This window comes from Homo sapiens, chromosome 19, assembly GCF_000001405.40.
Source record: "Homo sapiens chromosome 19, GRCh38.p14 Primary Assembly".
Taxonomy (NCBI): Eukaryota; Metazoa; Chordata; class Mammalia; order Primates; family Hominidae; genus Homo; species Homo sapiens.
In genome coordinates this window covers 49,554,936-49,580,568 of record NC_000019.10, presented here as the reverse complement: position 1 = coordinate 49,580,568, position 25,633 = coordinate 49,554,936, and the positions used below count along the sequence as shown (strand labels likewise).

At 49.9% G+C, this 25,633-nt stretch overlaps 1 protein-coding gene across 10 annotated transcripts, besides 3 other annotated features; it reads left to right on the top strand.

Moving 5' to 3' along the window:
- The first annotated feature begins 12 nt into the window (after positions 1-12).
- Positions 13-25,101, top strand: NOSIP (nitric oxide synthase interacting protein). Of its 10 annotated transcripts, none has more exons than NM_015953.6 (10): positions 13-54; positions 3,692-3,810; positions 19,877-19,947; positions 20,530-20,635; positions 21,591-21,672; positions 23,320-23,479; positions 23,576-23,694; positions 23,833-24,020; positions 24,144-24,252; positions 24,747-24,858. In NM_015953.6, the coding sequence occupies exons 3-10, from the start codon at positions 19,878-19,880 to the stop codon at positions 24,816-24,818; spliced, it is 906 nt and encodes a 301-aa protein (NP_057037.1). In that variant the 5' UTR covers positions 13-54; positions 3,692-3,810; position 19,877; the 3' UTR covers positions 24,819-24,858. The 10 variants fall into 10 exon arrangements, with proteins under 10 accessions (NP_057037.1, NP_001350578.1, NP_001257889.1 ...); NM_001363649.3 differs by having other exon boundaries at positions 23,320-23,488; NM_001270960.2 differs by lacking the exon at positions 3,692-3,810 and having other exon boundaries at positions 24,747-25,101.
- Positions 13,152-13,330: a silencer, noted in NCBI's record as "fragment chr19:50070496-50070674 (GRCh37/hg19 assembly coordinates)". NCBI's record gives its function as "represses an EF-1alpha promoter that drives an FKBP-Casp9 reporter gene in an ReSE screen in K562 erythroleukemia cells {active_cell/tissue: K562}" and the evidence as "EXISTENCE:reporter gene assay evidence [ECO:0000049][PMID:32094911]".
- Positions 19,921-19,970: an enhancer, noted in NCBI's record as "active region_14948". NCBI's record gives its function as "activates an Ori minimal core promoter by ATAC-STARR-seq in GM12878 lymphoblastoid cells {active_cell/tissue: GM12878}" and the evidence as "EXISTENCE:reporter gene assay evidence [ECO:0000049][PMID:35858748]".
- Positions 23,736-24,517: an enhancer, noted in NCBI's record as "H3K27ac-H3K4me1 hESC enhancer chr19:50059309-50060090 (GRCh37/hg19 assembly coordinates)". NCBI's record gives its function as "activates a minimal SCP1, AML or CMV promoter by ChIP-STARR-seq in naive H9 embryonic stem cells {active_cell/tissue: H9 hESC(naive)}" and the evidence as "EXISTENCE:reporter gene assay evidence [ECO:0000049][PMID:30033119]".
- Positions 25,102-25,633: the final 532 nt, after the last annotated feature.

Here is a 25,633-nt window from a genome sequence, read left to right as displayed (position 1 = left end):
CGGTGTCGGGGCACAGTTGAAGAAGCGACCGAGGGACTGGGAGTCGTTAGTGAGGTGAGTTCGAGGCGGTGCAGGAAGAGTGTTGCTGGGATCGCTTTCCTGCGGGCTAGAGGCCTGGGGTCTTGAGGGAGACTGGGGCAAGATTTTGGATTCCCGATTCCCTGTCAATCATTATTAATACAGCTGTCCGGGCGCCCCAAGTTTGAAGCTGAACTACACTCTGCTGGAGGTGGCCAACCGTCCATCGGGCAGTTCTCTCTCTCTTTGTCTCTCTCTCTCACTATAAACTCAGTCAAGTGGTAGCTAGCATCGGCCAGTTCTCCTGAGAGTTACAGTTCTGCTGTAGATGATGGCTATTTGCTGGTGGTCCCAAGGGAAGGAGTGGACTGGGATTGCTGGGGGTCTAAGGAGTGGGAGTTGAGGAGGGAGAACTCCTTTCCTGGCCTCAGTTTCTCAGACTGTGGTGGGACGGCGGGCGATACTAGATTGTGCAGTCATCCATCGCCACCTTCTCTTCACCTTTTTGACAGCCCCTTCCCTTTCGGGGTTGGTGCAGGGATTCACGTTTTCTTGTGTGGAGCTTCGGGGTCAGGCAGTCATGGATTCCCATTCTGATTGTGCTGCTAATTCTGTGAACTTGGGGCTTGAACGGTCCTTGAGGCAGTTTGATGTTAATGTTTTCTTACGAAAATGTTCAAACTTATATAAAAGTGAGAGAAGAATACAGGAATTCCTGTCACCCAAATCACCAATGATTATTTTTGCCATACTTGCTGTATTTTTTTAAACTTAAAGAGATTAAAACAAATCGTAGGCATCATGACACTTAAGGATTGTCAAAAGACAAAATTGCAACACATTTAGTGAGAAGATCTTAATTGGCATTTATTCGTGAATCTACAATCAAACAACATCTAATTATGGAAAATAGCGTGAGTGTTCCGATGAGCTGAGCAGAGGTTGTTTTCAGAGACAAAGGGCTGAGAAAATCAGAAACGGAAAACAAAAAGCTAGTTGATTAAATTGATTAACTTGATTAAATTTCTAAGTTAAAGGTTAAAGTAGAGGGGACTTCCTTTATCAGGTGGGCTAAAACTGGGTTGTTTGGGGATTTGGCTATTATCTCTCTCCTGATATCTCAGAAGATCAGATATCAACTTAGTTTTGGCTTGGAAGCATGGAACTTTAGCATGAGTGTCTCCATTTTGGTTTGGTCTGTTGAACCTAGTGCAGGAGCTCAATCCAAACCAATGACCTTCTATAAATTTTATCTAACAGGGTGCGTGTGTAAAAACCAGAAACATTGCTGATATGACCACAATACCATCATCACACTTTAAAAGAACAACCGTAATTCTAGACTACTATCCATTACGTGGTGCAGAGTCAAGTCCAGTGTAACTGTGGGTTTGTTGGAATCAGGATATAGTTAAGTAATTGCTATCGTCTTTTACATCTCTCTTAATTTAGAACTGTTCCCCCTTCCACTCCACTTTGGTTATTTCTTGGTGTAATCGATTCATTGAAGAAACTAATTCTAGTTCAGTTGATCATCCCACCATCTGAATTTGTCCCGTTTGCTTTTTTGTGGTCTCATTTTACCTGCTTCTGTTTTCTTTCTTTTTTTTTTTAAGTATTTAAAAATAGGCCAGACACAGTGGCTCATGCCTGTAATCCCAGCACTTTGGGAGGCCAAGGCGGGCGGATCATGAGATCAGGAGATCAAGACCATCCTGGCTAACACGGTGAAACCCCTTAGCCGGGCATGATGGCAGGCACCTGTAGTCCCAGCTACTCAGGAGGCTGAGGCAGGAGAATTGCGTGAACCCGGGAGGCAGAGCTTGCAGTGAGCCGAGATCACGCCACTGCACTCTAGCCTGGGCGACAGAGTGAGACTCTGTCTCAAAAAAAAAAAAGAAAAAATAGATAGAGACAAGGTGTCACTATGTTGCCCAGGCTGGTCTCAAACTCCTGGGCTTAAGCGATCCTCCTGCCTTGGCCTCCCAAAGTGCTGTGCTTAGATTACAGGTGTGAGCCATTGAGCCCGGCCTCATTTTACTTGTTTCCTCATGCCAGGGATCAGCTAATTATGTTCTACAGACCAAACTCAAATCCTGCCAGCTACCTGTTTTAAAAATCCCCATTGGGCAGGCACAGTGGCTCATGCCTGTAATCCTTGCACTTTGGGAGGTGAAGGCAGGTGGATCATCTGAGGTCAGGAGTTCGAAACCAGCCTGGCCAACATGGTAAAACCTCATCTCTACTAAAAATACAAAAATTGGCTGGTCATGGTGGCTGGCACCTATAATCCCAGCTACTCAGGAGGCTGAGGCAGGAGAATTGCTTGAACCCTAGGGACAGAGGTTGCAGTGAGCTGAGATCATGCCACTTCACTCCAGCCTGGGCAAAAGAGCATAACTCCCTCTCAAAAAAAAAAAGCATTAGTGGGATATGATTTACCTAACATATAGTTCACCCATTGAAAATATACAATTCAGTGGTGTTTAGTACGTTGACAGAGTTGTGCAACCATCAACACTATCATTTTAAGAATATTTTCATCACCCAAAAAGAAACCCTGGTACTCATTAGCAGTCATTCCCTATTTCCTCCCAATCCTTCCCACCCCAGTCTTTGGCAGCCACTACTCTGCTATATCTGTGGATTTGCCTAATCTGGGTATTTTGCACAAATGAAACCATAAAATATTATTGTGACTGCCTTCCTTCTTTCATTTAGCATGTTTTCAAGGTTCACCTATGTTGTGGCATGTATCAATACTTCTTTTTTTTTTTTTTTTTCCCGAGACACGGCCTTGCTCTGTTACCCAGGCTGGAGTGCAGTGGTTCGATCATGGCTCACTGCAGCCTCAACCTCCTGGGTTCAAGTGATCCTCCTGCCTTGGCCTCCCAAAGTACTGGGATTACAGGTGTGAGCCATCGGCGCCCAGCCAGCTACTTTATTCTTTTTATGGCTGGATAATATTCCTTTACCCAAGATATACTTCTTTTCTTTTTTTTTCTTTTTTTGAGACAGAGTCTTGCTCTGTCACCCAGGCTGGAGTGCAGTGGCGTGATCTCGGCTCCCAGGTTTGAGCGACTCTCCTGCCTCAGCCTCCCGACTAGCTGGGGCTACAGGCATGCGCTACCACGCCTAGCTAATTTTTGTATTTTTAGTAGAGATGGGGTTTCGCCATGTTGGCCAGGATGGTCTCGATTTCTTGACCTCATGATCCGCCCGCTTTGGCCTCCCAAAGTGCTGGGATTACAGGCATGAGCCACCGCGCCCCGCCTGCATGGATGTATGTTTTTATTTCTATTGGCAGTGGAATTGCTGGGTCAAAAGGTGACTATTTAACCTTTTGAGAAACTGTGACTTTTCCAGAATGGCTGTACCATTTTACATTTCTACCACCAATGTATAAGGGTTCCAGTTTCTCCATATCCACACCAGCACTTATTATTTATCTTTTTGATTATAGTCATTCTAGGGGGTGTGAACTGGTGTCTTTTAACATGCTTATTGGCCATTTGTAGATCTTTGAAGAACTGTCTATTCCAATCCTTTACCCATTTTCAAATTGTGTTAGGTGTCCTTTCATTATTGAGTTGTAAGTTTTTAATATATTCTCACTGCAATTCCCTTATCAGATATCCTGATTTTTTTTTTTTTTTTTTTTTTTTTGAGACAGAGTTTCACTCTTGTTGCCTAGGCTGGAGTGCAATGGTGCGATCTTGGCTCATCACGACCTTCGCCTCCCAGGTTCAAGTGATTGTCCCATTTCAGCCTCCCGAGTAGCTGGGATTACAGGTATGCACCACCACGCCCAGCTAATTTTGTATTTTTAGTAGAGATGGGGTTTCTCCATGTTGGTCAGGCTGGTCTCGAATTCCCAACCTCAGGTGATCCGCCCACCTCGGCCTCCCAAAGTGCTGGGATTACAGGTGTGAGCCACCTCACCTGGCATTTTTTTTTTTTTCCCCAGAGACAAGGTCTCACTCTGTCACTCAGTCTGGAGTGCAGTGGTGCAGTGGCACGATCATAACTCACTGCAGCCTCAACCTCCTGGGATCAAGTGATCCTCCTGCCTCAGCCTCCCAAGTAGCTGGGACCACAGGCGCATGCCACTATGCCCGGCTAATTTTTTAAATTTTGTTTTGTGGAGATGGAGTCTTGCTATGTTGCCCATAGCAAGTTCAAGTCTGGTCTCAAAAACCATGCTGCTGCTGCTTTTTTTTGGTAGAGACAGGGTTTTGGCATGTTGCTCAGGCTGGTCTTGAACTCGTGAGTTCAAGTGATCCTCCTGCCTTTGCCTCCCAAAGCACCCTATCCAGGTATGAGCCACAACAGCCAGGAGATATCTGACTTTTGTAACTGCTACCTGTTTTTGTTCAGCCTGCAAACTAAAAATGGTTTTTAACATTTTTTTTTTATAAGATGGAGTCTCGCTCTGTCGCTCAGGCTGGAGTGCAGTGGCGTGATCTCCGCTCACTGCAAGCTCCACCTCCCGGGTTCATGCCATTCTCCTGCCTCAGCTTCCGGAGTAGCTGGGACTACAGGCGCCCGCCACCACGCCCGGCTAATTTTGTTTTTGTATTATTAGTAGAGACGGGGTTTCACCGTGTTAGTCAGGATGGTCTCAATCTCCTGACCTCACGATCTGCCCGCCTTGGCCTCCCAAAGTGCTGGGATTACAGGCGTGAGCCACTGCGCCTGGCCTGGTTTTTAACGTTTTTACATAACTGGAAAAAACCAAAAGAATGAATTTGGTGACCTATGACAATTATATGTGATTCCGTGTCAGAGTCTAAAAGTAAAGTTTTATTGGAACACAGCCATGCCCGTTTGTGTGTCTGTGGCTGCTTTTATGCTACAGGGGCTGAGTGGAGTACTTACAGGGGCTGTTTGGCCTGCAAAGTTCAAAACATTTACTCTCTGGCCCTTTTTTGTTATTCCCTGCTATATCCTCTGACTTCCTAGAATCAGGAAATTGAATGTAAAGACTTGATTAAATTTCCATTCAGCTGTCAGGTGATTACTTCAGAGCTGGTCGCTTCATGTTGCATACTGCCTGGGTGCCCCATTTTCAGGGGTAGTGAAATTCATTCAGGCTCAGGCAGCATTATAGACTGAATGTCCCCCCCAGATTCGTATATTGAAGCCCTAATTCCCCAAGGTGATTATATTTGGAGGTAGGGCCTTTGTGGAGATAATTAAGGTGAAAGAGTGGGGCCCTAATCTGATGGATTGGTGTCCTTATAATAGGAGGAGGCTGCGCATGGTGGCTCATGCCTATAATCCCAGCACTGTGGGAGGCCAAGGCAGGTGGATCACATGAGATCAGGAGTTCAAGACCAGCCTGGCCAACATGGTGAAACTCTGTCTCTACTAAAAATACAAAAATGAGGCCGGGCGCAGTGGCTCACGCCTGTAATCCCAGCACTTTGGGAGGCCGAGGTGGGCAGATCACGAAGTCAGGAGATAGAGACCATCCTGGCTAACGTGGTGAAACCCCCTCTCTACTAAAAATACAAAAAAATTAGCCGGGCATGGTGGCGGGCGCCTGTAGTCCCAGCTACTCGGGAGGCTGAGGCAGGAGAATGGCATGAACCCTGGAGGCAGAGCTTGCAGTGAGCCGAGATCACGCCACTGCACTCCAGCCTGGGTGACAGAGCGAAACTCCGTCTCAAAAAAAAAAAAAAAAAATTAGCCAGGCATGGTGGTGGACGCCTGTAATCCCAGCTACTTAGGAGGCTGAAGCAGGAGATTCACTTGGGCCTGGGAGGCGAGATCCGCCGCTGCACTCCAACCTAGGTGACAAAGTGAGACTCCTCCCAAAAAACAGAAGGAGACACCAGAGAGCTTTCTCTCTGCCACTGAAGATAGCCATCTGCAAACCAGGAAGAGGGTGTCACCAGAACCCCACAATGCTGGTAGCCTGAACTTAGACTTCCAGCCTCAGGAACTGGAGAAAATAGGTCTGTTGTTTAAGCCACCCAGAGTGGTGTTTTGTTATGGCAGCTGGAGCAGACTGAGACAGGTGGCAGCCATCGAAAACCGCATTGTAAAGCTACAACTGTGTATTTTCCAGTAGCAAGAATTAGCATCCTGTGACTATCCAGGCCCCATCAGCCTCTCCTTTAATGCCATCCATCAACAATCATTGCCTGAGTCAGCTATTTCACCAGAGGTTGCAAAATGGCAGTTTTCCTATTCTCCCATTTCTCTTACACTTAGTCTGAATAATTTGGTTTTTGTCTTGAGTCATGTCCAAGAAGCAGTTGAAGAGAGTGACTTAATCAAACTTCCATTCTGAAAAGCCCCCCTGAGGCTGGTTTGTCAAGGAATAGACTGAGGAAGAGGCCAATTTCTCCAAGCTTCAATTTTCCTACCTATTAAATGAGCAAGACTGGGCGCGGTAGCTCATGCCTGTAATCCCAGCACTTTGGGAGGCCGAGGTAGTAGATCACCTGAGGTCAGGAGTTCAAGACCCAGCCTGGCCAACATGGTGAAACCCCGTCTCTACTAAAAATACAAAAAAAGTATCTAGGCATGGTGGTGTGTGCTTGTAATCCCAGCTACTTGGGAGGCTGAGGCAGGAGAATCACTTGAACCTGGGAGGTGGAGGTTGCAGTGAGTCAAGATCGTGCCACTGCACTCCAGTCCGGGTGACAGAGTGAGACTCCGTCTCCAAAAAAAAAAAAAAAAAAATACTTCAGTCCTGGTGACAGTGAGACTGTCTCCAAAATAAATACATACATACATACATACATACATAAAATAAAATAAATGGGCAGAACGTGGGGAGGTTGTCATGAGGACCGAATGTGTTCACATGTGGAAAGTGCTTCCCACAAGGTCTGATTCTTAAGGGGTTGAAGGATGTGATGATTACTTCTGTTCTTCCAGTGCTTCTGTGATTCACATGTTACTAATGAATTATTAGTGTATTAATGGCATGATGTCATGGCTGCATGGTTAGTTCATTGCTAACCCACCTCCCCTGGCCCTAGGATTGGAGGTGGTTCATTGATTCTATCATGACATCTCTGAGACCTCCCAGGTGCCAGGCAATGCTGGGACCCAGGCTGAAGTTCAACCCAGGCCCCACCAACCAGGGCCCCTACTCTGGAGCCGAAATACCGAGGGACGGGCTGTAACGGAGGTAGCTCAGGGCACGGTCAAGTGCAAGGAGAACCTAACTGATCCCGGAGAGGCAGGCTTCTTGGAGGAGGCAAACCTTGGCAGTGCTCTGGAGGAGAAAGGAGACAGGATTTCAGGGGAGGACAAGACACACACTAGCTGTCTGATCCACTCCCAGAGTTCAGCACAGTGCCTGAGGCCGCCTGCAGCCAGCTGGCACAGTGGATGGTCAAAGCCACAGGTGCTTGGATCAAACACAGCTGTAGGACTCACTAGCTGCATAACCTAGGGCACCGCCTCTGTGCCTCTCTTCATTTATAGCAACTATTTGAGGTGCTGTGATATTCAGTGGAGTGTTGTGATATTCGACCGTTTGAGGTGTTATGATATTCAGTAAAATGCTTAGAGCCAGGGTCTGCTTCAGAGCCGGGCTTTTTTTTTTTTTTTTTTTTTGAGACACAGTCTTGATCTGTTGGCCAGGCTGGAGTGCAGTGGCCCGATCTTGGCTCACTGCAACCTCTGCCCCCAGGTTCAAGCGATTCTCCTGCCTCAGCCTCCCGAGTAGCTGGGACTACAGGCACCTGCCACCACACCCAGCCAATTTTTGCATTTTTAGTAGAGACAGGGTTTCGCCACATTGGCCAGGCTGGTCTTGAACTCCTGACCTCAGGTGATCTGCCCGCCTTGGGCTCCCAAAGTGCTGGGATTACAGGCGTGAGCCACTGCTCCCAGCCATATATATATATATATTTTAAAGTATCTCCAATGAAAATTTAGCATCTGATGGCCAGGCCAATGTGGTGAAACCCCATCTGTGCTAAAAATACAAATATAAAAATACAAAAATGAGCTGGGCATGGTGGCACACGCCTGGAATTCCAGTTACTTGGGAGGCTGAGGCAGGAGAATGGCTTGAGCCCTGGAGGTGGAGGTTGCAGTGAGCCAAGATTGCACTATTTTGCACTCCAGACTGGGCAACAGAGCGAGACTCTGTCTCAAAAAAAAAAAAAAAAAAAAAAGGCTGGGTGCAGTGACTCATGCTTGTAATCCTAGCACTTTGGGAGGCTGAGGCGGGTGGATCACCTGAGGTCAGGAGTTCGAGACCAGCCTGCCCAACATGGCGAAACCCCATCTCTACTAAAAATACAAAAAATTAGCCAGGCATGGTGGCGGGTGCCTGTAATCCCAGCTACCTGGAAGGCTGAGGCAGGAGAATCACTTGAATCGGGGAGGTGAAGGTTGCAGTGAGCCGAGATCACACCACTGCACTCCACCCTAGGTGATAAAAGCGAAACTCCATCTCAAAAAAAAAAGAAAAAAAAAAGAAAATTTAGCATCTGAATTACTGAAATTACTGAGATGTGCTGAAAGAGTAAAATACATTCTGGATTTCAAAGGCTACAAATAAAGGAATGGATTGGCTTTTTTTTTTTTTTTTTTTTGAGACAGAGTCTCACTCTGTCGCCAGGCTGAAGTGCAGTGGTGCGATCTGGGCTCACTGCAACCTCCACCTCCTGGGTTCAAGCGATTCTTCTGCCTCAGCCTCCCGAGCAGCTGGGACCACAGGCGCGCACCAACACACCCAGCTAATTTTTGTATTTTTAGTAGAGATGGGGTTTCACCATGTTGGCCTGGATGGTCTCAACATCTTGACCTTGTGATCCACCCGTCTCAGCCTCCCAGAGTGCTGGCATTACAGGTTTAAGCCACCGTGGCCAGCCTGATTGGCCTTTTTTCTGAGATTGTGACTTTCCTAGGAAAACTGACAGTTGTCACCTAGTTAAAAGGAATGGCTCCAGAGCCTGGCTGCCTGGGTCTGAGTCCCAGCTCTGCCATTTCCCAGCTGGGACATGCTGTGAGCCTGTTTCCTGTGCTGTGAGGTAGGGATTATGCTGACATCGGTCGCTCCTGCTCTTTGCCTGTTTCCTCTCTGAAATGCTGGTGACAGCAGATGGCAGCAGTCTGCTTTGTAGTTTGAAATTGGACCTACCAAAGAGACAATATAGTGTGGGGCAGGAGAGCTCAGCTTTCAGAGTTTGTAAATCCTGAAACTGGCTATTCTTCCACCCTTGGTTGGAGGCGCTCACGCTTTCTGGTCTCAGGATCTTAAAAATCACTGAGTTTTAAAAATCAAAGAGTTTGCCGGGTGCAGTGGTTCATGCCCGTAATCCTTGCACTTTGGGAGGCTGAGGTGGGCGGATCACTTGAGATCAGGAGTTCAGAACTAGCCTGGCCAACATGGTGAAACCCTGTCTCTACTAAAAAATACAAAAAAAAAAAAAAAAAAATTAGCTGGGCGTGGGCGCCTGTTATCTCAGCTACTTGGGAGTCTGAGGCAGGAGAATTGCTTGAACCCAGGAGGTGGAGGTTGCAGTGAGCCGAGATCACACCACTGCACTCCAGCTTCGGCAACAGAGCAAGACTCCATCTCAAAAAAAACAAATTAAATTAAAAAAAGTTTAAATGCTCCCTCTATAGGTGTTCCTCCTATTTTTGGAGGGAAAATGTCCCCATCTATGTAGAAACCTCAGTTCTTGGCCACAAAACAGCAAGCAAGCTCATCTCTGGGAAAGCCGAGGTGCCCAGAGCCAAATACTGCAGAGGGTCAAGGGAGTTGACAACTAAGAATAGAGTGGGGAATGTGTCCATGAAAAGGTCACCGTGACCTTCATGAGTGGCAGTTGTGGGGGCTGGGGAGCGGATGGCAGGTGAGGGGAGGCAACAGGTGTTGGACGTTCACTGAGAAGCTTGGGGGTCAGGGGGAAGTCGGAGGAGGAGCCTGGCATGTGGAGGGGACCCTGGGTCAAGTTGGGGTGTTTGATCAAGGTCGCCCTTCTGCAAGCAGCCCTGGCTGCCTCAGGGGGCACATTGATCGGGAAGGGGCGTGAGGGGGTATTTAGCGTGATAGGAAGGTTCTGTATCTCCATAGGGTCGTGGTCACAAGGGTGTATACATTTGTCAGATCGCATCCAACTGTAAAGGTCTTTGCTTTGATTCTGTGTAAATATACCTAAAACCCAAAGAGTGGCTTCTGAGAAGACGCCAGTAGGGGGAGAGAGAGCTCCATAGCTCCCAGAGGTTTGTGTTTCAAGTTTTGAATGGGAAAGGCAAGTTTTTCAAAGCAACCAGAAGGGGGCGATAGAGATGAAGTTGCTTTTTACATCGGTGGGACCCTTGGTTGTGCTCCCCACCCCAACTTCTGGATCCTACTTGCAGGCTACTTGAGAGCAGGAGACAATCTTTCCTGAATGCAACTAATATGTGTCATGTGGAGCCTTTTGTCTGCAAGAGTTCTTTATATTTTATTCTTTCTTTATTTTTTGAGATGAGTGTCTGTCACCCAGGCTGGAGTGCATTGGCACAGTCTCGGCTCACTGCAACCTCCGCCTCCTGGGTTCAAGCGATTCTTGTGCCTCAGCCTCCCAAGTAGCTGGGATTACAGGTGGCCACCACGACTGGCTCATTTTTGTATTTTTGGTAGAGACAGGGTTTTACCATGTTGACCAGGCTGGTCTTGAACTCCTGACCTCAGGTGATCTGCTCACCTCAGGCATGAGCCACCTCGCCCCACCTGCAAGTGTTCTTTTTTGTTGTTGTTGTTGTTGTTTTTGTTTTTTGAGACAAAGTCTCACTCTTGTCCCCCAGGCTGGAGTGCGATGGCGCGATCTTGGCTCACTGCAACCTCCACCTCCCGGGTTCAAGCAATTCTCTTGCCTCAGCCTCCTGAGTAGCTGAGATTACAGGCGCCTGCCACCTCGCCCGGCTAATTTTTGTATTTTTAGTAGAGACGTGGTTTCACCATGTTGGCCAGGCTGGTCTCAAAACTCCTGACCTCAAGTGATCCGCCCACCTCGGCCTCCTAAAGTGCTGGGATTACAGGTGTGAGCCACCGTGCCCGGCCAAATGTTCTTTAAAATGTATCATTGTAGGCCAGGCACGGTGGCTCACACCTGTAATCCCAGCACTTTGGAAGGCCGAGGCGGGCAGATCACGAGGTCAGGAGATCAAGACCATCCTGGCTAACATGGTGAAACCCCATCTCTACTAAAAAAAAAATAAAAAAAATTAGCTGGGTGTGGTGGCAGGTGCCTGTAGTCCCAGCTACTCAGGAGGCTGAGGCAGGAGAATGGTGTGAACCTGGGAGGTGGAGCTTGCAGTGAGATTGTGCCACTGCGCTCCAGCCTGGGTGAAAGAGCGAGATAACGTCTCAAAAAAAAAAAAAAAAAGTATCATTGTATGCACAGTAGATTTCCTGTGCCTACATGGTATTGAGCTCTTGTTTTACTCTTTTCTCACTAAGCATTATGATTTAAAGATCCTCCCAGGCCGGGCGCAGTGGGCTCACACCTGTAATCCCAGCACTCTGGGAGGCCAAGGCGGGCAGATCACGAGGTCAGGAGTTCGAGACCATCGTGACCAACGTGGTGAAAGCCCATCTCTGCTAAAAATACAAAAATTAGCCAGGCGTGGTGGTGCAGGCCTGTAGTCCCAGCTACTCAGGAGGCTGAGGCAGGAGAATCGCTTGAACCTGGGAGGCGGAGGTTGCAGTGAGCCGAGATTGCGCCACTGCACTCCAGCCTGGTGACAGAGCAAGACTCTGTCTCAAAAAAAAAAACAAACAAACAAACTATTTTTTTTTTTTTTTTAGAGATGGGGTCTAGCTATATTGCCCAGGCTGGTCTTGAACTCCTGGCCTTAAGCAATCTTCCTGCCTTGGTTTCCCAAAGTGTTGGGATTACAGGCATGAGCCACGGCACCCAGCCTCTTTTACTCATCTTTCTATTGGAGTGGCTGTAATTTTCTTCTTGATTTGCTGGAGTTTCATGTACCATCAGTTCTGCTATAATGCTTATTTTGAAAATGTGAATTTATTCCAATGCAGTTGATATATCAGGGAACAATTTGAGCATAACACCAATTTCACATTTGCTTATGTGCATCCAAGGTGAATCCAGGAAACTGCACTCTGCTATAAGTGTGTGTGTGGGAATACACAAAGCACACATACACGGCACTTCAAACAAATACCACCACCGCAGTTCCCCGGGTGTTAGGAGCCACACCCATCCACATCTGGTACTAGGACTTTCCATCAGATCTCAAATAACCCTCTTTCCACCACATCACAGTAATTCACAAGGCGCTCCCTCCACCCCACACCCATTGCCACAACAAACTTCAAGTCTTTGTCAAGGTCAACTGCCATATTTTTGGAGTATGTTGGTATGTCTTAACCACCTAGCCCGTGTGAAACTGTTCTCTCCTTTTGTATTCTGTTCTTATCTTTTTCTTTAAGCATCACCGACAAAGTTTACGAGGATTGTGACACAATCCTGTTTTCTCTGTAAGCCTTGTGGTTTTTGACTGCAGGATTTTGCATATTGCTGTGATTTCTATGAATGCATGCCTTATAGTAGAACTGACTATTCTACATATTAGTCCCTTGTTGGTTGGGTGTGGTGGCTCATGCCTGTAATCCCAGCACTTTGAGAAGCCAAGGTGGCCAGATTACCTGAGGTCAGGAGTTCGAGATCAGCCTGGCCAACGTGGTGAACCCTGTCTCTACTAAAAAAAAAATGCAAAAAAATTAGCCGGGCCTGGTGGCAGACACCTATCATCTCAGCTGCTGGGGAGGCTGAGGCAGGAGAATCGCTTGAACACAGGAGGCAGAGAGGTTGCAGTGAGCCGAGATCATGCTACTACACTCCAACCTGGGCGACAGAGCAAGATTCTGTCTCAAAATAAATAAAATAAAAATGAAAATGATATTAGTCCCTTGTTGATTGTAGGCATTACAAGTATCTTCTCCCAGTCTCTCACTGATGGCACATTTTCCACAGCATGGTGCAGGAGGTTCCTTGCTGACCCAGGCACAGCTCAGAGCCAGTCCCAGGAAGCCCTGGGGCAAAGTTGTGAGGAGTGGCTCTCTCATGTTGTTGGAGGTATATAGACCTGTGCAGTCTGTATGGAGAGCAACTAGTAAATTCTAACAAAAAAATTTTTGGGGCCGGGCACGGTGGCTCACGCCTGTAATCCCAGCACTTTGGGAGGCCGAGGCGGGCGGATCACGAGGTCAGGAGATCGAGACCATCCTGGCTAACACAGTGAAAACCCGTTTCCACTAAAAATACAAAAAATTATACGGTGTGGTGGCGGGTGCCTGTAGTCCCAGCTACTCGGGAGGCTGAGGCAGGAGAATGGCGTGAACCCGGGAGGTGGAGCTTGCAGTGAGCCGAGATCGCGCCACTGCACTCCAGCCTGGGAGACAGAGCGAGACTCCGTCTCAAAAAAAAAAAAAAAAAAGTTTTTTGGCTGGGCACGGTGGCTCATGCCTATAATCCCAGCACTTTGGGAGGCCGAGGCAGGTGGACCACCTGAGGTCAGGAGTTCAAGACCAGCCTGGCCAACATGGCGAAACCCCATCTCTACTAAAAATACAACAATTAGCTGGGCATGGTGGTGCGCGCCTGTAATCCCAGCTACTCAGGAGGCTGAGGCAGGAGAATTTGCTTGAACCTGGGAGGCAGAGGTTGCAGTGAGCCAAGATCATGCCGCTGCACTCCAGCCTGGGCGACAGCGAGACTCTGTCTCAAAAAAAAAAAAAAAATAGTATGTGTGTATATATATATATGTATGTATATGTATTTATATTTTTAAGGCTGGTCAAGTGAAGGAGTGGAAGTGGAAAGGAACAAAGAAATCTGTAGCTGGTTGTGATCAATTAGTTGTAAACATTGCTGCACTCAGCCCAGCCTCTAACCACATTTTAAATGCACACACCCTTTGAATCAGTTATTCCACTTTTAAAATTTATCTTAAAAGCAGGGTTGGGTGCAGTAGCTCATACCCTTCATCCTAGCACTTTGGGAGGCCAAAGCAGGAGGACCACTTGAGCCCAGGAGTTCAAGACCAACCTGGACAACATAGCAAGACCCTGCCTGGATAAAAAATTAGCTGGGCATGGTGGTGCATGCCTGTATTCCCAGCTACTTGGGAAGCTATGGTGGGAGGATCACTTGAGCCCAGGAGTTTGAGGCTGCAGCGAGCTATGATTGTACCACTGTATTCAGCCTAGATGACAGAGTGAGACCCTGTCTTAAAGAAAAGGCCGGGCGCAGTGGCTCACGCCTGTAATCCCAGCACTTTGGGAAGCCGAGGTGGGCGGATCACGAGGTCAGGAGATCGAGACCATCCTGGCTAACACGGTGAAACCCCGTTTTCACTAAAAAATACAAAAAATTAGCCAGGCGTGGTGGCGAGCGCCTGTAGTGCCAGCTACTCGGGAGGCTGAGGCAGGAGAATGGCGTGAACCCGGGTGGCAGAGGTTGCACTGAGCCGAGATTGCGCCACTGCACTCCAGCCTGGACGACAGAGCGAGACTGTCTCAAAAAAAAAAAAGAAGAAGAAAAGAAAGAAAGAAAAAAAGAATTTATCTGAAAAACATCCTTGGACACGTGCTAGACATTGGGTACCAAACTGCTTTGTCATAGTGGACAAGGATGTCTGTCCACAGGTGTCAAATCCAAGAGTTGTGTTCATTCAGGGATGAATCTGTAGCCACATAAAGACCAAGGACGTGCCTGGTGGGCTGATGGGGAATGATGTCCAAGATGGAGTGGGGGTTCCCCCGCCATTAATTTCTTTCTTTCTTTCTTTTTTTTTTCTTTTGAGACAGGTTCTCACTCTATTGCCCAGGCTGGAGAGCAGTGGCTCCATCTTGGCTCACTGCAGCCTTCACCTCCCAGGCTCAAGCAGTCCTCCTGCTTCAGCCTCCTGAGTAGCTGGGATTACAGGCGTGTGCCACCACACCCAGCAAATTTTTATATATATATATTTTTTTGTAGAGATGGGGTCTCAATATGTTGCCCAGACTAGTCTCAAACTCCTGAGCTCAAGTGATCTTCCAGCTTCAGCCTCCCGAAGTGCTGAGATTACAGGCGTGCACCATGGCACCCAGCCAATTTCTTTTTATAACATGTACAGAGAAGTACAGAAAGCATAACTGTCTAACCCAGCGACTTTCAGAGCAAACACACCCATGTAACCAGCACCCAGATCAAGAAACAACATTCCCAGCCTCCCAGATGCTACCTGTGCCCCTCCTAGTCACCCCCACCTTCTGCCTCCCAAAGGCACCTGACTTTTTTTTTTTTGAGACAGGGTCTCACTCTGACTCCCAGGCTGGAGTGCAGTGGCCCAATCATGGCTCACTGCAGCCTTGACCTCCCTGGGCTCAGGTGATCCATCTCAGACTCCCAAGTAGCTGCGACTACAGGCATGCACCACCATGCCCAGCTAATTTTTCTATGTTTTGTAGTGACAAGGTTTTGCTATGTTGCTCAGGCTGGTCTCAAACTCCTGGGCTCAAACAATCCTCCTGCCTTGGCCTCCCCAAGTGTTCATATTACAGGTGTGAGCCACCACACCCACCCACACATAACTTCTGGTGTAGTAATTACTTTGTGAGTTTTTGAACGTCACATGAATGGGATCATACAGTAAGTTTTCTTTTGCGTGTCTGGTGTCTCGCCTGCGTGGTGTCTGTGAGATTCAGCTATACTATGGGTATGACAGTAGGCTGTTGTGTCTCATTGCTGGGTGTTTCCATTATGTGATATGGCCCAGTTTCTTTATCTACTCTGTGCTGACAGGCATGGGGTAGTTTCCAGTTTATGAGCCATTGTGAATAGGGCAGTGTATGTGTCTTGTAAACAGGTGTACCCTTCTGTTAGGTGTATACGTGGGAGACGAATTGCTGGCTCATAGGACTGGCATATGCCTGGCTTCAGTAGATACTGACAGTTGCTTTCCAAAGTGGTTGTGCTGGTCTGCACTCCCCTGAGCAGTGCACGAGGGTTCTAGTAGCTCCATGTCCTCGCCTGCACCCCTCTGTCTAATTGCAACCCTTGTGGTGCGTGTGGGGAGGTATCTCAATGAAGTTTTATTTTGTTTTTTTTTTTTTTTTTTTTTTTGAGATGGAGTCTCGCTCTGTCCCCTAGGCTAGAGTGCCGTGGCGTGATCTTGGCTCACTGCAACCTCCGCCTCCCAGGTTCAAGCGATTCTCATGCCTCAGCCTCCCCAGTAGCTGGGATTACAGGCGCACACCACCACGACCAGCTAACTTTTTGTATTTTTAGTACAGATGGGGTTTTGCCATGTTGGCCAGGCTGGACTTGAACTCCTGACCTCAAGTGATCTGCCCGCTTCAGCCTCCAAAGTGCTGGGATTACAGGTGTAAGCCACGGTGCTCGGCCTTCAGTGAAGTTTTAATGTGCGTTTCCCTGGTGACTATATTAGTTTCCTATCATTGTTGTAACAAATTACTACTAATTTAGTGTTGCAGTGTCACACCTCATGGAGCCTCTGGTGTACTTGTGAGAGAATGAGAATCAGAAAGGCAAATAATGTCTTAGTATTATTAAGACAACAGTTTTGACCTTGCAGACTGTCTAGAAATGTGTTGGGGGACCACAGGGTCCTAGGACCCACACTTTGAGAACCACTGATCTAGAAGAGTATTGGACTCTTATAGCCTAGGAACAATGGGAAATGTTTAAAAGGATTTCCTATCCATATTTTTTATTTCTTGCAGAGACATATAACAGGGTGATCACTAAAGCAAGTATTTTCAGGCTGGGCACAGTGGCTCACACCTGTAATCCCAGCACTTTGGGAGGCCGAGGCGGGTGGATCACCTGAGGTCAGGAGTTCAAGGCCAGCCTAGCCAATATGGTAAAACCCTGTTTCTACTAAAAATACAAAAAATTAGCTGGGTATGGTGGCATGCACCTGTAATCCCAGCTACTTAGGAGGCTGAGGCAGGAGAATTGCTTGAACCCAAGAGGCGGAGGTTGTAGTGAGCTGAGATCGTGCCATTGCACTCCAGCTTGGGCAACAAGAGCAAAACTCGATCTCAAAAAAAAAAAAAAGAATTTTCAAGCACAAAAGATATGATGTGCCAGGTGCAGTGGCTCACACCTGTAATCCCAACACTTTGGGAGGCCAGGAGTTCACTTGAGTCCAGGAGTTCAAGGCCAACCTGGGCAACATGGCAAAACCCCATCTCTACTAAAAATATAAAAATTAGCTGGGCGTGGTGGCACATGCCTGTAGTCCCAGCTACTCGAGAGGCTGAGGCAGGAGAATCACTTGAGCCCAGGAGGTCAAGGCTGCAGTGAGCTGTGATTGTACCACTGCACTCCAGCCTGGACAACAGAGTGAGTCCCTGTCTCAAAAAAAAAAACAAAAAGAAAAAACGATGTTAGATTAAAAATGGGTGGCAGAGAGGGAAGTGGAACGGAAATACAAGTTCAAAGAGAAAAACAGGACATGTATAATTTTCTGCTGTTGAAACAGCTTTTTCTTGCATTTTTCAAATGGTCTCAAATTATTACAGTATTTAGATTCCATCAGCTACACATTTACGTTGCTGGAAATTGTATCCTTTGCAACTGTTTAAGCTTGGGAGAATTTTTAGGTGGCAACTTAGAGATGAGTGAGACAAGTATATAATGTTACTAGATCTTCTCTCTTCTCTTCTTTTTCTTTTGACAGAGTCTCTGTCTGTCACCAGGCTGGAGTGTAGTGGTGCAATCTCCACTCCCTGCAACCTGCACCTCCCAGGTTCAATGAGTCTCCTGTTTCAGCCTCCCGAGTAGCTGGGACTACAGGCATGTGCCATCACACCCAGCTAATTTTTGTATTTTTAGTAGAGACAGGGTTTCACCATGTTGGCCAGGATGGTCTCGATCTCTTGATCTCGTGATCCGCCCCCGCCTCGGCTTCCCAAAGTGCTGGGATTACAGGCATCAGCCACTGCACCTGGCCATCAACTTCTTTGTTTTTAAATTTAATAGAGATGGATCTTGCTGTGTTGCCTAGGCTCATCTCCATCTCCTGGGCTCAACAGTCCTCTTGCTTCAGCCTCCCAAAGTTTTGGGATTACAGGCGTGAGCCCTGAGCCTGGCTCTAAATCATTTTAAGGGATAAAAAAGCCTGCAGGGGCCAGGCACAGTGACTCACGCCTGTAATCCCAGCACTTTGGGAGGCTGAGGCAGGTGGATCACCTGAGGTCAGGAGCTCAAGACCAGCCTGGCCAACACGGTGAAACCCCGTCTCTACTAAAAATACAAAAAAATTAGCCAGGCGTGGTGGCAGGCACCTGTAATCCCTGCTATTTGGGAAGCTGAGGCAGGAGAATCGCTTTAACTTGGGAGGCAGAGGTTTCAGTGAGCCAAGATCATGCTATTGCATTCCAGTCTGGGCAACAAGAGTGAAACTCCGTCTCAAAAAACAAACAAACAAACAGGCATGCAGGCTGTTTACTGGCCAAGCAGTCTTGGTGAAAGCTGCCCAGCCTCTGTGGGTTCAGGGCTTCTCCTTTTACAAATGAACTCCAGAAAAGTAGGGGGCTCCCTTCCTCACACCATACACAAAAATTAACTCAAAAAGTAAAAGTTAAAATGATCAAACCCCTAGAAGAAAACATAGGAATAAATGTGCATTATCTTGGCTTAGGCAATGTCTTTTTTTTTTTTTTTTTAATTGTGACAGAGCCTTGCTCTGTCTAGGTTGGAGTGCAGTGGCATGATGTCGGCTCACTGCAACCCCTGCCTCCTGGGCTCAAGTGATTCTCAGTGCCTCAGCCTCCCGAGTAGTTGGGATTACTGGCGTGTGCCACCACGCCCAGCTAATTTTTGTATTTTTAGTAGAGACGGGGTTTCACCATGTTGGCCAGGCTGATCTTGAACTCCTGAACTCAAGTGATCCACCTGACTCAGCCTCCCAAAGTGCTGAGATTACAGGCGTGAGCCACTACACCTGGTCTGAAACCACTTTAAAAGGGTTAATTTTATGGTATGTGAATTGTGTCTCAATAAAGTCATTTAAAAGGGTGGGGGTTGCCCTTAAGTATGGGGAATGATCAAAGGTATCAAAGTAAGGTGGCAAAATGTTGACAGCTGCTGGACCGCAGGACATGGGTACATCATGGGGGTTCCTTATACTATTCTGGTTTTGTATGTGTTTGAAAACTTACAGAATAAAAAAAGCTTTGCTTTTTGAATTGAGCTCCAGGGTTCTGGGGTCTTCTCTTCCTCCTTTACCTGCAGTGGGAGTGGAGGTAGCTCTTCCCCTAGACACAGAGCCCTACTCTGACCTGCCCTCTGATCGGTCGATCTGAGACATAATCACAGCTGCTAGATCCAGTCGCTAGTGGACTGGCAGGCAGCGATTGGGTCAAGCCTTAGCTAAGTGTCAAGCCTTAGCTAAGTGCCCAGCCTTGAGCCAATCACTGGGCTGGTCCACGCCTTGGCCTCAGTCAGAGCTTACAGATATGAGAGGGGAAGGGAAGGTGGAGTGGATTCATCAACAATAGTGGCCCCCTTGGTGTCTTTTTTTTTCCCCTCCATTAAATGGCACAGCCACCACCCTAGCTAATCTGAAGTAGTGGCTAGAATTTGAACTCTGGTCTCTCACCCTCTTACCTCCAAACAAAGAGTTTTGTTGTTAAAGGTGCTATTTTCACATATAAATGAGTCTAGGTGAGTCTGGAAGGAGGACTTCCTGGAGGAGGCCTGGCGACCACATGCCCTCCCTCTCTTCCACCTCACCCCCCTTCTCCGCCTCCGCTTTCCCATCAAGGGGGGCAGATCAGCTCTGAGGGCTGCAGAGGTCTTCCCTGTGCTGCCTGCCTCCGGTAACCACAGTCCTGCCACTGTCCCTTCCTCCCTAGGATGACGCGGCATGGCAAGAACTGCACCGCAGGGGCCGTCTACACCTACCACGAGAAGAAGAAGGACACAGGTGCAGGGCTGGGGTGGGAAGAGGCGGGACATGGCTGTGTCTTGGAGTCACCCTCTCCCCTCGTGCCCCAGGTTTTGCTTCCTCTGTCCCTGTCTCTCTCCCGCCCCCGATATACACTGATGGCCATGACCATGTAAACAACAGCTGGGTGATCCCATGACCCCATGTGGCCCGGCACTGTGTTCTCTGCCTTCTGCGCATGAACTCACTCCTCCCAACAGAGTGTCAGGGAGGGTGCTCTTGTTACCCCATGTTCCAGAGGAAGAAACTGAGGCCCAAAGAGGGACAGGCACTTGAGCTTGGTCACAGTCAGAAGGGTGGAGGGGAGTCAGCCGTCAGCCCCTCCACCAAGCTGCCACTCAGTGACCAGGCCTGTCTGCCTCTCACCCTCCAGGGTTGACAACTCCCTGTGGGTTCAGCCCGTGGCCCCAGCACACAGGCAGCGGCTCCCAACTGCCTGTTTCTCTCTGAGTCCCCCACCCCCACCACCGCGTTGTCTCTGTGCCTCTCTCTGGGGCTTTGGAGACGGACATGTCTCCTGTTGCTCCGCCCCTCCATCACTCTGCCCATCTCTGTCCCCAGCGGCCTCGGGCTATGGGACCCAGAACATTCGACTGAGCCGGGATGCCGTGAAGGACTTCGACTGCTGTTGTCTCTCCCTGCAGCCTTGCCACGATCCTGTTGTCACGTGAGCTGGGAACAGGGATGGGTAGGTCTGGGTGGGGAGAGCAAGGGAACCGCCAGGAGGAGGCTGTGTGCGTGGGTCTGGCCACCTGCACAGCCAGGGAACCCTGGATGAGCAGTTTATCCTCAGAGCCTCTGTATTCTCACATGGGACATGGGCATGATCCTAGCATCTGTTTCATAGTGTGGAACATATGGAAAGGAACATACTTCTAATGGGGTGTAGGGCTCTCAGAGCATTGCCGAGGCCATCGGAGCAGCTCACCTTTGGACACTTCCCATGACCTACCTCTGATGGTAGGGCAAAGGCTTAACAGGTGCTGAGTCCAGGCACTAAATACGTGCTCAATTAGTGGTATATTTTGTAGAAGACAGTAATTAATGATCAGGGCCCCCAAGGCCACCTTCAGGTTTCTTTTTTTTTTTTGAGACAGAGTCTTCACTTTGTTGCCCAGGCTGGAGTGCAATGGGGACATCTTGGCTCACTGATATCCCAGGCTCAGGTGATCCTCCTGCCTCAGCCCCCACGAGTAGCTGGAACCACGGGTGTGCACTACCACACCTGGCGTTTTTGTTTGTTTTTTGTAGAGAGGGGAGCTCACTTTGTTGCCCAGGCTGGTCTCGAACTCGTGGCTGCAACAATATGTGGCACACATTGTTGCTGAGAGAATGAAGCACTTTCCCTGCAGCTCTATTGGGAGAGGACAGCTGGAAGCTCAAATCTAGTCTCTACTAGATTCTGCCCCATGTGCCTTTTTCCTTTGCTGATTTTAATCTGCATCCTTTCACTGCAGTAAACTATCACCATGAGTATAACAGCTTTGCTGAGTTCTGTGAATTCTAGCAAATAATTGAACTTGGGACTGATCATGATGACTTCTGCCTATAATCCCAGCACTTCGGGAGGCCGAGGCGGGAGGATCACTTTCTTTCTTTCTCATTGCACCCTGTCTTTGCAGCCCAGATGGCTACCTGTATGAGCGTGAGGCCATCCTGGAGTACATTCTGCACCAGAAGAAGGAGATTGCCCGGCAGATGAAGGTGATGGGGATGGGGAGGAGGCGGCACACGGAGGCAGGAGCTTTTGAGTCTGAGCTCACAGGCAGAGCCACTCAGAGCCCTCTGATCTCAGTTCCCTCTGCCTGGTACACCATTCCCCTCCCCTGCTTCCGGCCAAATCCTTCTCACCGATTTCAGCCCAGATGCTGCCTCCTCTGAGCTCCTGCCAGTCCCCAGGATCTGCCCCAGTCACCTCTTCTCTTAGCACTTAGCATAGTTGTAGCTGTACATGTGGCTGTCTGACACATGCCCACTTTCCCTTATGGACTTCGAGTTTTCCCACCCTGTAGCTTAGGTCCTTAGTAAAGATATGCTAAATGGGTCGGGGGTGGTGGCTCACACCTGTAATCCCAGGACTTTGGGAGGCCGAGGCAGGCGGATCACTTGAGGTCAACAGTTAGAGGCCAGCCTGGCCAACATGGTGAAACCCTGTCTGTACTAAAAATAAAAAAATAAAAAAAAAAATTGAGCCGGGCATGGCGGGCGCCTGTAATCCCAGCTACTCAGGAAGCTGAGGCAGGAGAATCGCTTGAACCCATGAGGTAGAGGTCGCAGTGAGCTGAGATGGCACCGCTGCACTTCAGCCTGGGTAACCGAGCGAGATTCTGTTTCAAAAAAAAAAAAAAAAAAAAAGATGTGCTACGTGAATTGACATCACCTCATTTTTTCTGGGCCTCAGTTTCATCGTCTGTAAAACGGGCTGACGGCCAAATCAGAGGACACAGCAGGGCACCTGGGAGGTACACGCAGATGAGCATTCTCAAGGCGTGTTACTGGGAACCCGGCCTGGCCTTCCATGGACAAAGCCATTTGATGGGTAGGAGGGGCCCTGTTTGAGGCACAGTGGGTCTGTCCCCCTCTTCCCCTGCCTGGTTGCTGGCGCTCAGGAAACACTACAGGTCACATGCTTATTGGGCTTTTTGTCCCAAGCAGGTGGCTCCCCCTGTGCCCATGTCCTCCACACAGCCTGGTGGTCATGTCGGAGGCCCTCATGAGCATCCATCACTGTCACTGTTACCTCCTCACTCAGCTGGGTGGCCCAGGGTGGTCTGGAACTGCAGCACCGCCCAGGCAACTGCTGTGCGCCAGGCAGGGCTGAGCTCAGGTCATGGCTTCACTTCTCCCGTCCTCACTCACTGTCCGTCCATAGACATGGGCTCCTCAGCATTCCCTTAGATCTGAAGTCTACATCCCCCGTCCCAAACACGGGCTGGGGCATGCACTGTATAGAAAACTTAATTGGCCAGCAGGTGACATTAATTAAATGCTTAGCTGAGTGCCAGGTGAGGCTCTCCATGCTGTAAACACTCACCTTATGTAACCCTTCAGTGAGCCGCTGAGGTGGGTAACCACTGTTAGGCTGTTTTACAGATGAAGAAACTGAGGCCAGGAGAGGTCATAGTGCTCACTTAGGCCACAGAGTGACAGAGATGGGCTTTGAGCCCTGGCAGTCTGGCTATACAACGCAGTAAGGTTCACACCCACCCAGGGTGGCAGTTACCACCCTCTGCCACATAGTGCCTCCATCAGAGGGTCCCCTTTGTGGGCCTCAGTTTACCTACCTGTGAAATGGGAGGAAGATACCCCCAGCCCCACGGGCAGATGCTCAGCCCACTTTCCCCGACGCAGGCCTACGAGAAGCAGCGGGGCACCCGGCGCGAGGAGCAGAAGGAGCTTCAGCGGGCGGCCTCGCAGGACCATGTGCGGGGCTTCCTGGAGAAGGAGTCGGCTATCGTGAGCCGGCCCCTCAACCCTTTCACAGCCAAGGCCCTCTCGGGCACCAGCCCAGGTGACTCAGGTTGGGCTTCTTGTGGGTTGGGGGGCGGGGCGCCGCGGGCTGGGCGGGCCCAGGGGGCGGCATCTGAGTCCCTTCCTTCCCCCACAGATGATGTCCAACCTGGGCCCAGTGTGGGTCCTCCAAGTAAGGACAAGGACAAAGTGCTGCCCAGCTTCTGGATCCCGTCGCTGACGCCCGAAGCCAAGGCCACCAAGCTGGAGAAGCCGGTGAGCCCCCACAGCGCCCCGGCACGCACGGTGCCAGGGCGCCAGGGTTCCCCACCGTCCTCCTCACGCACAGGGACCACGCGCTCTCCACCTGCGCCAGCCCTGCCTACTGAGCCCGCCTCTCTCTGCCCCTTGCAGTCCCGCACGGTGACCTGCCCCATGTCAGGGAAGCCCCTGCGCATGTCGGACCTGACGCCCGTGCACTTCACACCGCTAGACAGCTCCGTGGACCGCGTGGGGCTCATCACCCGCAGCGAGCGCTACGTGTGTGCCGTGACCCGCGACAGCCTGAGCAACGCCACCCCCTGCGCTGTGCTGCGGCCCTCGTGAGTCACCTGGGAGGGGAGGGAAGGGACCACTCGGGAACCTGCGGGGCGGTCCGGCTTTGGGGCCAGTAGGTCCCCAGGAAGGCCCCTGATCAGAGTCTCCCGCCTTCGGCCTCACCGTAGTGGGGCTGTGGTCACCCTCGAATGCGTGGAGAAGCTGATTCGGAAGGACATGGTGGACCCTGTGACTGGAGACAAACTCACAGACCGCGACATCATCGTGCTGCAGCGGGTAAGAGTCCCACCCCTCCCCTTCCCCCAGCACTCCAAGGCCCCGCCCCTCCCCTTCACCCCCTCCAAGGCTTCGTCCCCTCCCCTTCCCCCAACTCTCCAAGGCCCCGCCTTCTTCTCTGCTCTGTAAGGCCGCCCCCCCCCCCCGCTTTCTCCTGCAAGGCCCCGCCCTTCCCCCCCTCCGCTCTCCTAGGCCCCGCCTCCTCCTTCCTTTTCAAGGCCCCGCCCCTTCCCTGCCTCCAGCCCTCCACGGCTCCACCCCCTCCACACGCTCCCTCCCAAGGCTCCTCCCCTGCCACTCTCTACCCTCTTCTCTGCGCCCTGCGCCCTGTCCATCCGTACCCACTGCGGTCGCCTCGCCCCCTCCCCAACTCCTACTCCTTAGCCAGCAACCCGCTTCACCTTGACCCGCTTAGGAATCCCCACTACCACCTGGAGCCCCACTGGTCACCCCCGGGCCGGCCTCTACCTCGTCCTTCTCTCTACCTCCCCCAGGGCGGTACCGGCTTCGCGGGCTCCGGAGTGAAGCTGCAAGCGGAGAAATCACGGCCGGTGATGCAGGCCTGAGTGTGTGCGGGAGACCAAATAAACCGGCTTGGGTGCGCAACGACGTGGCGCCTTCATTCGCGGCGTGGGCGCCCCGGGGACAGGGCAGGCGAGGATGCAGGGCCGTGCAAACAGTGCTCCTACAGCGCACGCTGGAGTTTGAAAGAGCGGGCTAAGCATATTGAATGTGGTCTCACATTAAGAACAAAATCTGGCCAGGCACGGTGGCTCACGCCTGTAATCCCAGCACTTTCGGAGGCCGAGGCTAGCGTATCACTTGAGGTCAGGAGTTCGAGACCAGCCTGGCCAACATGGTGAAACCTTGTCTCTACTAAAAATACAAAAATTAGCCGGGCATGGTGGTGCGCACTTGTATTCCCAGCTACTCCAGAGGCTGAGGCAGGAGAATCGCTTGAACCCAGGAGGCGGAGGTTGCAGTGAGCCAAGATCGCACCATTGCACTTCAGCCTGGGCAACAGAGCGAGACTCCATCTCAAAGAAGAAAAAAAAAAAAAAACCTGAATAGAACGCAAATGCACAGCATTAAAATTGGTTGAGTGGCCGGAAGTCCAAGTCTAAGCCAAGACCGTGTGAGTGCGCCACTTTAATGAGCTACATAGAAATTTCTCGAGTTCTTTGTTAGGGTTCCCGGATTTTTGCCAGGTTTGAAGAACAGGAAATGCCCAGGAACGTGTCTTCCGGGCTGCAGTGTGATTAGACCCACAAAGGAAGTGCAGTTCTGTGAAAAAGTGCGCAGCACCCGGACTAGGAAAGGCGGTCAGGAGCATCACGCCCCCACCTGTGGCAGCCTGAGGGGGAAAGGAAGAGGAAACCGC

What these genes read in the sequence shown, in the direction of transcription:
- NOSIP (XM_011527015.3), top strand. An exon ending in AGATTGCCCGGCAGATGAAG is followed by an intron (nt 21,673 to 23,319) that starts GTGATGGGGATG and finishes TCCCCGACGCAG; the next exon opens with GCCTACGAGAAGCAGCGGGG. An exon ending in CCACCAAGCTGGAGAAGCCG is followed by an intron (nt 23,695 to 23,832) that starts GTGAGCCCCCAC and finishes TGCCCCTTGCAG; the next exon opens with TCCCGCACGGTGACCTGCCC.